Genomic DNA, 13,020 nt, shown 5'->3' on the forward strand with positions numbered 1-13,020 from the left:
AACACATCAGGAAAGAAGCAACCTTCAATGCAGGCACCATTACAGATGAAAAATACTTTCAAGTGTTACCACCATTATATCCACAGATGCCCTTCTGTCAGATTCCAGGAATTTGTCAGAAACAGCAGGACTCACAGGAAAAGCTTGTTAAAAACATTCGGGGCATCCTTTTCTCTGACCCCAAAACACCAAAATCAAACAAACAAAACCAGAATGGCCAACACATCCACTATCCAGCAACAGAATTCAGTCTCTGTTCATAAAAAGATTTGTAGGGAGAACAACAACATCATAAAACACAACCAAGCTCAACAACACTTAGTCTTTTTGACATTTACTCCTGCAAAATGTGCTGGGTGAGCAGAAACACAGGAGGAAGTGTTGCACACAAAAGCTTTTGAGAAATAACAGGGCTCTCTTCTATAGAAACAAAAGCCTCACTGGGCCAGCCAAACAAAAGGACTCAGCTGCTAGCAGGAGAGGAAAAACCTCTTCTTCATTCTCTTCTCCAAAGAAAACAAAGAAATGTTAGTGAGGCAGAAATCATTTTGCATTATCTGACTTTTGAGCAAAAGCATATCTTTTAATACTGAAAGAACGGTTCTTTTTGAGATAATATTTTGGAAAATGAAAAAGTAGAAAAATGGAGGAAGAAACATCAGAAACTTTTTTTGGGGGGAGTAGGGTGGTGGGAAGTAGACTGCAAAACATGCTTTTAAAAAATACATCTAGGGGTTAAAGTATATTAAACAAGCAGGTTTTCAAAGGTGGTAGCCAAAATGTTAATGGAATTCCTCAAGGAGCAATAAATCTCTCCTGTTATAATCCAGGATTCAAGGAGGGGAAACAATGATGTAGTAGCAAGAGCTGTTATTTGAAAAGGCAGCTTTTTAATCTTGTGTTGTTTTGAGAATTAAAGCAGATAATAAATGTAAGCAGTAGGATACAAAAAAAATGGTGATTTATCTTTATTTTTCTCTTTTTAAAAATACTATCAATCCAACCTGAAGATACCCATGGTCTTTGGGGAGTGGGGATAAAAACTAGAAGATTCAATGAGTTATTTCACTACTAAAATTATAAATAGTCTGCCAAAAATTAAGTAAACTGTTTTGAAATAAAAGATCACCAAACAAAAAACAGTTCTTAAATGTAGTATTCAATAAGTTGATTCCTGAACATTTTCCTAAATGATATTGACTGGTAATGATTTCCTAGCTACCATAATCAAAAGTCGAAGTCATGCTATTTGGTAATAACAGCAATAAAGACAAACATTGAGCAATAACTGGGTTAATTAATCTTCATAACAAACCTATAGATAATGTTGTTTCTATTATCTCTATTTTATAAAAGCTTGATAATATTTAAAGACATCACCTGAGTTCACTAAAGTAGCAAGTAGAAAAGCCAGGATTTGAACCTAGATTTACTTGGCTTCACAGCCAAGTAAATAGTTTTATTTCTACTTCTACTCTATATAATAGTACAGTTGGCCATTCAATAACATGGGTTCAAATTGTATAGGCCCATTTATATGCAGATGGTTTCTCAATAAATATATTGGAAAACTTTTTGGAGATTTGTGACAATTGGAAAAACCCCACAGATGAACTGCATAGCCTAGAAATATTGCAAACACTTAATATAAAGTTAGGTATGTCATAAATGCATAAAATATAGGGATATACTCTTCTATTTATTATTTACCAGAAAATATCTCAGACAGCAAGACCAAATCCTTCTCTTCATCCTTCTCCTTACCTACTCAATGTGAAGATGATTAGGATGAAGACCTTTACAATAATCCGCTTAATGAACACCAAGTACATTTTCTCTTCTTTATGATTTTCTTAATATTTTCTTTTATCTCACTTACTTCATTATAAGAATATCGTATATAATACATATAACATACAAAATATGTGTTAATTGACTATGTTACTGGCAAGGCTTCCTGTCAATGAATACTAGTAGGCTGTTCATAGTTAAGTTTTGGGGGAATCAAAAGTGATATGTGGATTTTCAATTGTGCTGGTATCTGAACCCCAACCCTACATTGTTTAAGGGTCAACAATACATGCTTTCCTGCAAAGAGAAGTCTAGGGATCTGAAGGCACGAGAAAGCACTGCATTCCTAACTCTCTCATATGGTAAAAAATGCATCAAACTCTCTGACCTATAGTTAATAATCTCAGAAACACACATCTAACTAAAGGTCCTTATCATCTTTAGTGCAGATTGAGGGTCAACAGAAGAAATACAGCCTTGCAGCCTAGCAGCATCACAGGCAAATAAATAAAACTAAAAACAGAATTATCATATGATCCAGCAGTCTCACTTCTGTTTGTTTACACAAAATATTTTGAAGTTAGTCAAAGAGATATCAGCCACCTCATGTTCACGGAAACAATGATAGCCAAGTTATAGAATCAACCTAAGTGTCCATTAAGAGATAAACTGATAAAGAAAATGTGGTTTATATAAATAATGGAATATGATTCACCCTTTAAAAAGGAGAAATTGTGTCATTCATGACAACATAGATGGAATTGGAGAACATTATGTTAAGCAAAATAAGTCCAGCAAATATAAACACTCTATATTCTCATTTATATGTAGAATTGAAAACAACTGAACTCATCAAAGCAGAGAGTAGAATGGTGGTTACAGAGGGTGGAGGTGAGGAGAATGAGGAGATGATGGTTAAAGAGTACAAAATCTCAGACAGGGGGAATATATTTTTTCTTTTTTTTTTTTTGGGTTCTATTGCCAAACCCGGTGAATATAGTTAATAATAGACTATTGTATATTTCAAAATCTAAATCTCAAATGTTCTCACCACAAGGCATGTTAAGTATTTGAGGTGACAGATATATTAACTAGCTTAATTGTTCCACATTGTGTTAATAAGTTATAATATCACTTTGTATGCCATAAATTTATACAATTATAAGTTGTCAGTTGACAATAAAAAATAAAGTTAAACCCAGTTTTCTCTGTTGAAAGAAAAAAAGACTATTCAGTGTATCTGTTTGTCATTCACAGGACCTTTTAGTTGTAGGTTGGTTGATGGGTCAGTTGGTGGTTGCAATTTATTTTTAATTTATTCAGGAAAATGGTTTAATGGACTCAGTGCTACATGGCTGGGGAGGCCTCACAATCATGGTGGAAGGCAAGGAGGAGCAAGTCACATCTTATGTGGATGGCAGCAGTCAAAGAGAGACTTGTTCAGGGAAACTCCCCCTTGTAAAACTACTAGATCTCTTGAGATTTATTCACTATCACAACAACAGCACAGGAAAGACCTGCCCCCATGTTTCAATTACCTCCCACTGGGTCCCTCCCCCAACACTTGGGAATTCAAGATGAGATCTGGATGGGGACACAGCCAAACCATATCAGCTCCTCATAATACAATGGGAAATTAAGAATACTTGAATATGGTTCTTTGAATATATAGAAATACTCACTAATAAATGTTTTATTATGGTATCATGATTTATTTGAATTGAAAACTTTTAAAATCTCATTGTGAATATTCTTCTAGAAACATGAATGGAAACCTTTTTCTCCAGTCACACGCCAGTTTACAACTCTGCTGGCTTGAAACCTAAAAATAACAAACACCATATTTTATTAAAGTATTTATAACTGACTTTTCTGTTCAAGGTGCTACAAAGCAGTTGATTTTTTACCATATACCATAACGTGGAACAGATATTTTGTCTTCTGTCTCCTGCTTTTGCCAGCATTTATGAGTCAAACAGCATCCAGACAAAGAAAGAAAGGACCAAAGCCAAATTGTGTAAGCATTCTTATATTGACAACATGTTTCCAAGAAAAAAGAGAAGAGGAGAGGGTTGGATCAGACAGGAAAGAAAACAAAATAAAACAAAGTAGTTAAAATTAGTTTATTTTTCTACTTCTGAAACTTAAAAAAAATTATTTCCAGAAGAAATTGAAATGAGTAGGCTGATTTGAGGGATGAGGTGCATAGATGTATGATGGTATGCTGACATGAAGAGTCCTAGCAAGAGAAGTTATAGGACGGAGGGAGGAAAATAGTAGAGGCACCAAGGCAGAGTTGTAAGACATAAGGAATGAACTCTACTGAGGTTGACCTTGCAGCTTATAATATAGTACAAAAAGCTAACGGGGAGTAAAGGCTTTTACCTCCCACTGAAGTGACACAAATACTGTGCATTTAAAGGAGTCGTGCCTGGTTTGGAAAAGACCTGTGTGTTTAGCAGAAACCACCCTAGTCATGGAATTAGGACCATACTAGACTCCTTTAGGGGAAAGGTAGTTAGTATAATACAATACTGTGGCCTTATAACGATTAGACTTGTAAAATCATAGAGCTGAAAGAGACTTCAGGACTTGCATAGTTTATTATCCAACCTTTACAGAGAATGGAGGATCAGAGAAATAAGCAAAATATTTAAGTCTATAATTTATTGGTAAAGAAGATAGAATTATAAATAAGTACTGTAAAGACACATAATGTTCTGTTTAATCACCTTTACAGTTCCACACTTATAGTTATATATCTATAGATATAGTGCCTAACTAAATTAATGTTTGTTTATTGACTCAATGAATAAATGAACACACTTAACCTTCCCCACTCCATATTCCCAGTGGGCTAATGTGGAAGAAATTTAACCAAAAATAATCCATCTAATGGAACATAGGCTTTGGATTCTAACAGGCTTAAGTTCAAATCCCAAAATTCACTATTTTTTAAATTTGTGAACTTGGGAAAATTGTTAAATCTTTTAATTTTTCCATCTGTAAATTGGGCATGAAAGAGTTGTGTACAACTTTGGCATTAAGAAAAAGCTCAAAAAGCGTTTTATATCTGTAGAATTATTATTTCTATTATATTCCTTATTATTATATTTTTTAGGCCCTCGGTCTTCTTTTATATTACTCTTCAAATCAAGTGTCAATGGGTTTTAGGGTGGGTCTAAAATAAACTGGGGTGCTAGGAGGTTCCCCAGCTACAGGGATGGCCACTGTGGGTAACAAAGGTATTGGAGATGGTGGGATAGAACTACTACTCAAAATTAACTATTGACCCCAAGGGCACAGGGTTGTAGCTAAGTAGGGCTTCAGGTCTCTCACTTCTGCTTCAATTAAAGTAACTTTGCTTTAAATGGACATAGGATTTGGTTAAGATTTTATTAGAAAAATAAAAGCAGAGTTTCCACTCCTACAGTAAAGTTTTGGCAACTACTAACTCATGTTTGATTTGTGCATATATGCTGCTTACTTAGGACATGTATCATACTTGTGCTCATCATTCTTTTCTTAATTGATAGTGAAGACAAAGGTAAGAGCAATCATATTTTTTCATAATGAATATACAATGATCAAAACATGAAGCCTCTTGAAGAAAATTTGAGACAAATTTAAAAAAAAATTCTTTATAGCTCTTCTTGCAAAATAGCTACCATATAATAAGCTCTAGACAATTAAATGAATAATGGATAAATCAACTTTAAACATGAAAGTGTTATAAACATATTACTTACAAAAAGTAAGTAATGAACATGCATCGGGAGAAACACCTTTTGGGATAAATGATTGATATTACCATTCACTTATTAACTCTCACCCTCATCTTTATCAGTTGGCCAATATTTAACTTTGTATATTAATTCAGCAAAAGTTGGATATCACTTAGTAGACTCAAGAATGATGTTTAAAATTTTACTCCTTCATGGCAGTTCAGAGTGATATTCCTTCCATAACACAAAGATTTGTAAAATAATGTAGGTCTATTTAAAATTCCAGAGCATTTTTCAATAAAATGTTTGTATATTTGATTTTGTTTCTAAAAATAGAAATAAGAATGTACAGAAGGACAATTGACTGCCAATAATCTACCAGTGACAACATTCTGATTCTGTAATTCATTCCCAAGTGGAAAAGTATAACCAATGTATTTTCTTATTAGTTCTGTTTACTTGTCCAGATTAAAAAAAAAAAAAACAAAACACCTATCACTGTATTCTAGAGAGAGCAAACCAAAATAGAAGACCTCATTGTAAAACTATGCTTTTACAATAACAGCAACAAAAAATCTCTCTTCATTTCAAATATTAACTATGATAATAATGTACAGAGTCAAACAAAACTCTGATCATGACATAGAGAGTCGAACAAATATAGAGTCATGATTTGTGTGTATTGATAATATCTGTCCTTCATGTGATCTCATATTCATGAATTAATAATCCTCTCAAAGTTATGAGAACTAGGTTATTAATATGAATTTTGACTATTTGGCTTGCTCATGATTAATCACAGGAAAGAAAACAACAACAAAACAAAACTCAATCTAGTCTCTATCACATTCATCTCAAAGTGAAACTCTGTAACACTGATCCTTGAACCATGAAATAATTTTTTTTGAACATGAGTGAGTGGTAGGCTTATTTTTTCACAACCTTCAGAGAACTCAACAGATGCAAACACACATGATAAAAAGGTTTGCTGGGTTTTATCATTAGACCAATTACAGATGAATTCTCTCTTGAAGCCATATAATTTAAATGTGCCCATTCTTACTCCTTACCATGGCCTCCTGCCTATTAAGGTCTTTGCTTCATGAAAATTCCTTTGGCTGGAGTGCCCTTCTCCAAACTACTTCTTGTCCCTGGAAAATCTCCACCTATCTTTCAAGCCTCAGTTCAACCTTCCTTTTCTCCCAGGTAGCAATAACCTCTCCTTCTTTTATGTCTCTTCTATGACACTCTTCTTGATTAGTACTCAAAATGATCTAACTATTTACATGTCTACTTTCCCAGTAGGGTGTGAGCCTCTTGAAGAAAATTTCAGAAAAATTTTTAAAAATTTTCTTTATAGCTCTATCTTCTTACAAAATATCTGTTATATAATAAGCTCTAAATGATTAAATGAATGAATGAACAAATCAACTTTAAACAATTACTGTTATAAAGTAAGTAAATCTAAAAGTCAGGATATGGCACCTTTTCTAACTCTACACAGGATTACTGCAGTATATTAGCAATTTATACCTATATTTCTTTTCAAATTAGTATTTTCTTTTCAGGATTAAAAACTAGAAGCTCAATCAGTTACTATTTTCCTATTGGAATTGTGGAGTCTGCCAGAAATAAAAGAAAATGCTTCAAAACACTGACCACCAATAAAAAAGATAGTATAATCTCTTCTTTATACTCAGATTAATACCCTACTTCTATCCAAATCTTAATGTAAATAAGATCAATGTTCAATTACCAGTTGAATGCTCACCATACAGAAGCAAAGGACACATCATCCACATTTCCTTGTCCTAATGAAATTCACACTCTTTGCAGAAATGAGAAAAAAAAATCTCAAAAGCGAGCGAAAATTTAAGGTCATATGCTAAAATGGGACATGGGTAGGAAGGGAGTGCACTCCTCCTCCAAGAGAGATAAATCATAGAGTATTAGTTGGAGTGGATGAGCTTTACCGATGAAAGGGAAACAAGTGATATGAATAATACAGTAAAAATACATATTGCATATTTGAGAAGCAATAATAATAATAAAAGTCCACACAACTCTAAGTGGCAGGTCCCAGGACTCTCGCCTGTCTTCTGGCCCACTTATCTGTCCAGCTATGCCTCTTGCAACTTCTCTCACACTTCACTAGGTTTAGGCCTGTGCTCTGTTCTGACCATGCTCTTTTCTACTTTGGGGCTTTTGCGCCTGTTGGTATTTCTGCATGAAGTGTTCTCTTCCTATATTTCATAAGGAAACAACATACTTAAGGAAATATTATACATAATGACTCAGTTTAATGATCACCTTCTGAAAAGGCCTTCCTTGACCTCTGTTCATTTCAGTTATCATTATACCCTGCTTTTATCCTTACAGCATTTCCTAATTTACAAGTAATATATATACACATACATACACATATATCTGTATCTATATATCTGTATCTTTATCTATTTGTCTCTCTCACACATTTGTTTCCTTACATATTAATTTACCTTCCGTCTCCCCCAAATAAATGAGTGTTTTGAGGACAGAGATGGTGTATTTTTCACTCACCAATATAAATTGTATGACCTTCTAGTAACTTAACTTTTCTGGGACCAATTTTCCTCAATTATCAAATAAAATCATAATAATCCTACAGGTAGACACTATTATTACATTACTGATAATTGAGGAAAATCCTCAATCCACATAGGATTGTTTGAAAGAACAAATTAACATAAAATGGCATCTTAAATATAATGCTTCCTATTGGTTAGAGTTTTTGAATAACTCCCCCAATTTTCCCATATTCAAAAGCATAGAACTATAAATAGCTATGATATACAAGTTGAAAAGAAGATCTCAAACTTGTTTTGTCAGTCTTAGCTGATCAATGCCCTTCCATGGCCTCCAACACATACCTTTATGGAAGGTGAAGTTGAAGAAACTAAAAAAAGAAAATTCCTTTGGAAAACATTGAATTAACAATATTTTTATCTGTACTCTCTTAAAGGGGAAGAGAGAGGGATGCATTCTCCTCAACCCAAGTTTAGAGAAAGGGGTTCAATGGGTTGACTCAGAATTCATGATATGTTTCCCAGATTGCGAGGATCATAAATCCAGATAGTTGCCTCCTCCTGAAAAAATATGTGATAGACTAAGGTTAGAGTTCTTCTACCTGAAAACAGAAGGAAGATTGGGAGCTGCATTGGAGAGGAGCTGGAATTCTTCTAACAACAGGGAAAATGTATGTTTCCCATGAATTAGATATGAGTTGAGAGGAGGGAAACTGACAAGGGGTGCTCATTAAAGAGACTCTATTCAAGATGACTGCCTGAATCTCAATAGAGGGGTGGACCAGTGGAAGCTCAGGGACAAGAGATAGTTAAATGTGGTCATCCAAAGGAAGCCTTGCTTCCATCCAGAAAACCATAGTTTTGTCAGCAGGAGGAGAGCTCAGTTCTATCCGGAAAACCATAGTCTTGAGTTTGCCAGCAGGAGGAACTCAGATGAACCCAGAAAAGCCCCAGAAAGGATAAAGACCTGCAGATTATACATCTATCACCAGAAGGGTATTGAAACTAAATTACAATTATACCACCCATAAAACTAAGTACTTTTCCCATGATTGCTCTCTCATCTCTCCTCTATTCCAGAAAGGTAAAAAAAAAAAAAAAAATGAATATAGGAAGCAAATAGGTTGAAAAAAGAATTAAATCTTATTCCCTTCTCTGTTGTAGATTTTTTGGCCTGAAGCAGGATAAGGTTGGGGAAAAGGATACATTTTAAGTCAAATAAGGGTTCATAGTTTTTATTTTGCATTTGACCGTGTTAAACTTATGAGACTATTAGACTTGAGTAGATTTTATTATAATAAATGATCTGCCTGAGATTGTATCAAAAGGAGGGATGAATTAATTCCTAGAGGGGTTTGTGAGAAGGCAGAGAGAAAACAATGAAGTTGGTTTCTGCTTTTACCTTACTAAGTCCAGCTTATTCAGTAAACTAGGTATGAATGTATGTACAAGGCTTCACACAGCATTGAAAGTTAACGAATGGCAACGATCTAAACATTTGTTACACAATAGGTGCTTCATATGTATGATTTCTCTGCTCCCTCTTTCCAGTGAAATATTCTTTCAAAAACATAGTACAGGCCTATCTCATTTTATTGCCCTTCTCTTTAGTATACTTCACAGATACCACATTTTTTACAAATTGAAAGTTTGTGCTAACCCTGCATCAAGCATGTCTATTGGCACCATTTTTCCAACAGTGTGTGTTCACTTCACGTCGTGTGTCACATTTTTTTTGGTAATTCTCATAGTATTTCAAAATTTTTAATGATTATTATATCTGATATAGTAACATGTGATCAGTGGTCATTGATGTTACTATCACAATAGTTTTGGGGTGCCACAGAATATGCCCATATAAGATGATGAACTTAACTGATAAATGTGTGTGTTCTTACTCTACCAAAAATATGTCCTTACCTGTTCTCGCTCCCTCTTCTTGGGCTTACCCTATTCCCCAAGACCCCGAGGCTAAATAATAACCCTTAAATGGCCTCCAAATGTTCAATTGAAAGGAGTAATCACACACATATCCTTTAAATCAAAATCTAGAAATGATTATGCTTAGTGAGGAAGGCATGTTGAAAGCTGAGGTAGGTAGAAAGCTAGGCCTCCTATGCCAAACAGCCAAGTTGTAAATACAAAGGAAGAGTTCTTGAAGGAAATTGAAAGTGTGACTCCATTGAAAGCAAAAGAGCTTTATCACTGATGTGGAGAAAGTTTTAGTGGTCGAGATAAATATCAAACTAGCCACACCAGTCTCTTAAGCTAAAGCCTAACCCAGAGCAAGGCCCTAAATCTCTTCAAGTTTGTGAAGGCTGAAAGAGGTGAGGAAACTGCAGAAGAGAAGTTTGAAGCTAGCAGAGGTTAATTTGTGAAGTTTAGGGAAATAAGCCATCTCCTTAACATGAAAGTGCAAGGTGAAGCAGGAGGTGCTGAGGTAGAGAAGTTGCAGCAAGTTATCCAGAAGATCTACCTAAGATCATTGATGAAGGCAACTATATTAAACAACAGATTTTCGATGTAGACAAAACAGCCTTGTATTGGAAGAAGATGACATTTAGGACTTTCGTAGCTAGAGAGGAGAAGTCAATGCCTAGCTCCAAGCCTTCAAAGAACACGCTGATTCTCCTGGTAAGGGTTTATGGAGCTGGTGACTTTAAGTGGAAGCCAATGCTTATTTACCAATCCCCAAATCCTGGAGCCCTTAAGAATTATGCTAAATCTACTCTGCCTGTACTCTATAAATGAAACTGCAAAGCCTGGATGATATCACGTCTGTTTATAGCATGGTTTACTGAATATTTTAAGCCTACTCTTGAGATGCACTGGTCAGAAAAAAAGATTTCTTTCAAAATATTGTTGCTCATTGTCGATGCACCTAGTCACCAAGAGCTCTTATGCAGATGTGCAAAAACATTAATGTTTTCATGTCCACTAACACGATATCCATTCTACAGCCCATGGATCAAGGGGTAATTTTAATTTTTAAAAGTCTTATTATTTAAGAAATACTTTCAGAAAGCTATAGCTGCCATAAATTGTGATTCCTCTGATGCATCTGAGTAAAGTAAATTGACAATCTTCCAGATGCCATTAGGAAGATTCATGATTCATGGGAGGCGGTCAAAGTCTCAACAAAAACAGGAGTTTGAAAAAAGTTGATTCCAACTCTTACAGATGACTTTGAAGAATTCAAGACTTTGGTGGAGAAGTAACTGCAGATGTAGTGGAAACAGCCAAAGAACTAGAATTATAAATGGATCCTGAAGATATGACTGAATTGCTGCAATCTCGTAATAAAACTAACAAATGAAGAGTTGTTTCTCAGGAAAAAGCAAAGAAAGTGGTTTCTTGAGATGGAACCTACTCCTCTGGTGAAGATGTGAATATTGTTGAAATGAAAACAAAGGATTTAGAATATTGCCTAAATTTAGTTGATGAAGCATTAGCAGGGTTTGAGAGGACTGACTCCAATTTTGAAGGAAGTTCTAATGTGGGTAAAACGCTACCAAACGGTACCACATGCTACAAATAAATCTTTCCTGAAAGGAAGAGTCAATTACTGTGGAAAACTTCAGTGTCTTAGTTTTAAAATTTGCCACAGCCGGGCCGGGCGCGGTGGCTCATGCCTGTAATCCCAGCACTTTGCGAGGCCCAGATGGGCAGATCACCTAAGGCCAGGAGTTCAAGACCAGCCTGACCAACATGGAGAAACTCCGTCTTTACTAAAAATACAAAAAACAAAAACAAAAACAAACAAACAAACAAACAAACAAAAACAGTTAGCCGGGCATGTTGGCACATGCCTGTAATCCCAGCTACTCAGGAAGCTGAGGCAGGAGAATCGCTTGAACCCAGGAGGCGGAGGTTGCGGTGAGCCAAGATCATGCCATTGCACTCCAGCCCGGGCAACAAGAGCGAAACTCGGTCTCAAAATAAATAAATAAATAAAAATAATAAAATAAAATAAAATTTACCATAGCCACCCCATCTTTCAGCAACCACCACCCTGATCAGTCAGCAGCCACCACCCTGATCAGTCAGCAGCCATCAACACTGAGGCAATATCTTCTGCCAGAAAAAGATGATTGACTCACTGAAGGTTCAGATGATCATTAGCATTTTTTAGTTATAAAGTATTTTTTAATTAAGGTTTTTTTGGATGTAATACTGTTGCATACTCAATAGACTACAGTATAGTGTAAACATAACTGTTACATGTACTGGGAACAAAAATAAATTATGTGACTTGCTTTATTATGATATTCACTTTATTGCAGTGGTCTAGAATGAGACTGCAATATCTCTGAGGTATGCATATATAAATTTTTTCAAAAATTTTGAAGCTTTTCCTTGAATATCCCACATAATATATCATACTATAATAACCTTTCAGTGAATCCTTTACAGCTTAAAAACCTAGGCAGAGGTCAGTCTTGCCTCAATATGATTTAGAATGGATGAGCAATGTGGTTCTGGGAAGTTCTTTCATCTAAAGGCTGAAATGCAGGAACAGAGTAAATTTGCATCCAGTGGACTATATCCATCATCTGATAGGAGACAGCAAGTAGCCAGAGTGCAGCAAGAGAATCAGGGGACTGCTGCCCTCTGTAAATCAGAAAGCCTCCTTATAGATACAATAACAAGCCTGTCTGGTGTCCTGGAATTGAGTGTGGATGAAGTGAGAAGCCACCTGGTATCTTTTTCTGGGGAACATTTTGCAGATTGACCTTAAATGATTATATCTGTGAATAAATTACCTCATGCCTCTATTATCCAATCAATCAATGCAAGCTTTTCTTTCTCTGCCTTTTCTTCTCCAACATAGGTGAACACGGCTTAAGAGATGACCCAAATGGAGCTTCCCTGTAGAACAAGACCTTTCCAACCTCTGCTTGAACCCTTCTGGTAACAGAGAACTCACTACGTTACAAAGC

At 35.3% G+C, this 13,020-nt stretch overlaps 1 protein-coding gene across 53 annotated transcripts in view; it reads right to left on the minus strand.

Moving 5' to 3' along the window:
- DLG2 (discs large MAGUK scaffold protein 2) overlaps positions 1-13,020 on the minus strand; it is a 2,173,362-nt gene that overhangs the window by 567,055 nt on the left and 1,593,287 nt on the right. The window lies entirely within an intron of this gene.

The sequence above is a fragment of the Homo sapiens genome, chromosome 11 (genome assembly GCF_000001405.40).
Source record: "Homo sapiens chromosome 11, GRCh38.p14 Primary Assembly".
NCBI classification, from domain to species: domain Eukaryota; kingdom Metazoa; phylum Chordata; class Mammalia; order Primates; family Hominidae; genus Homo; species Homo sapiens.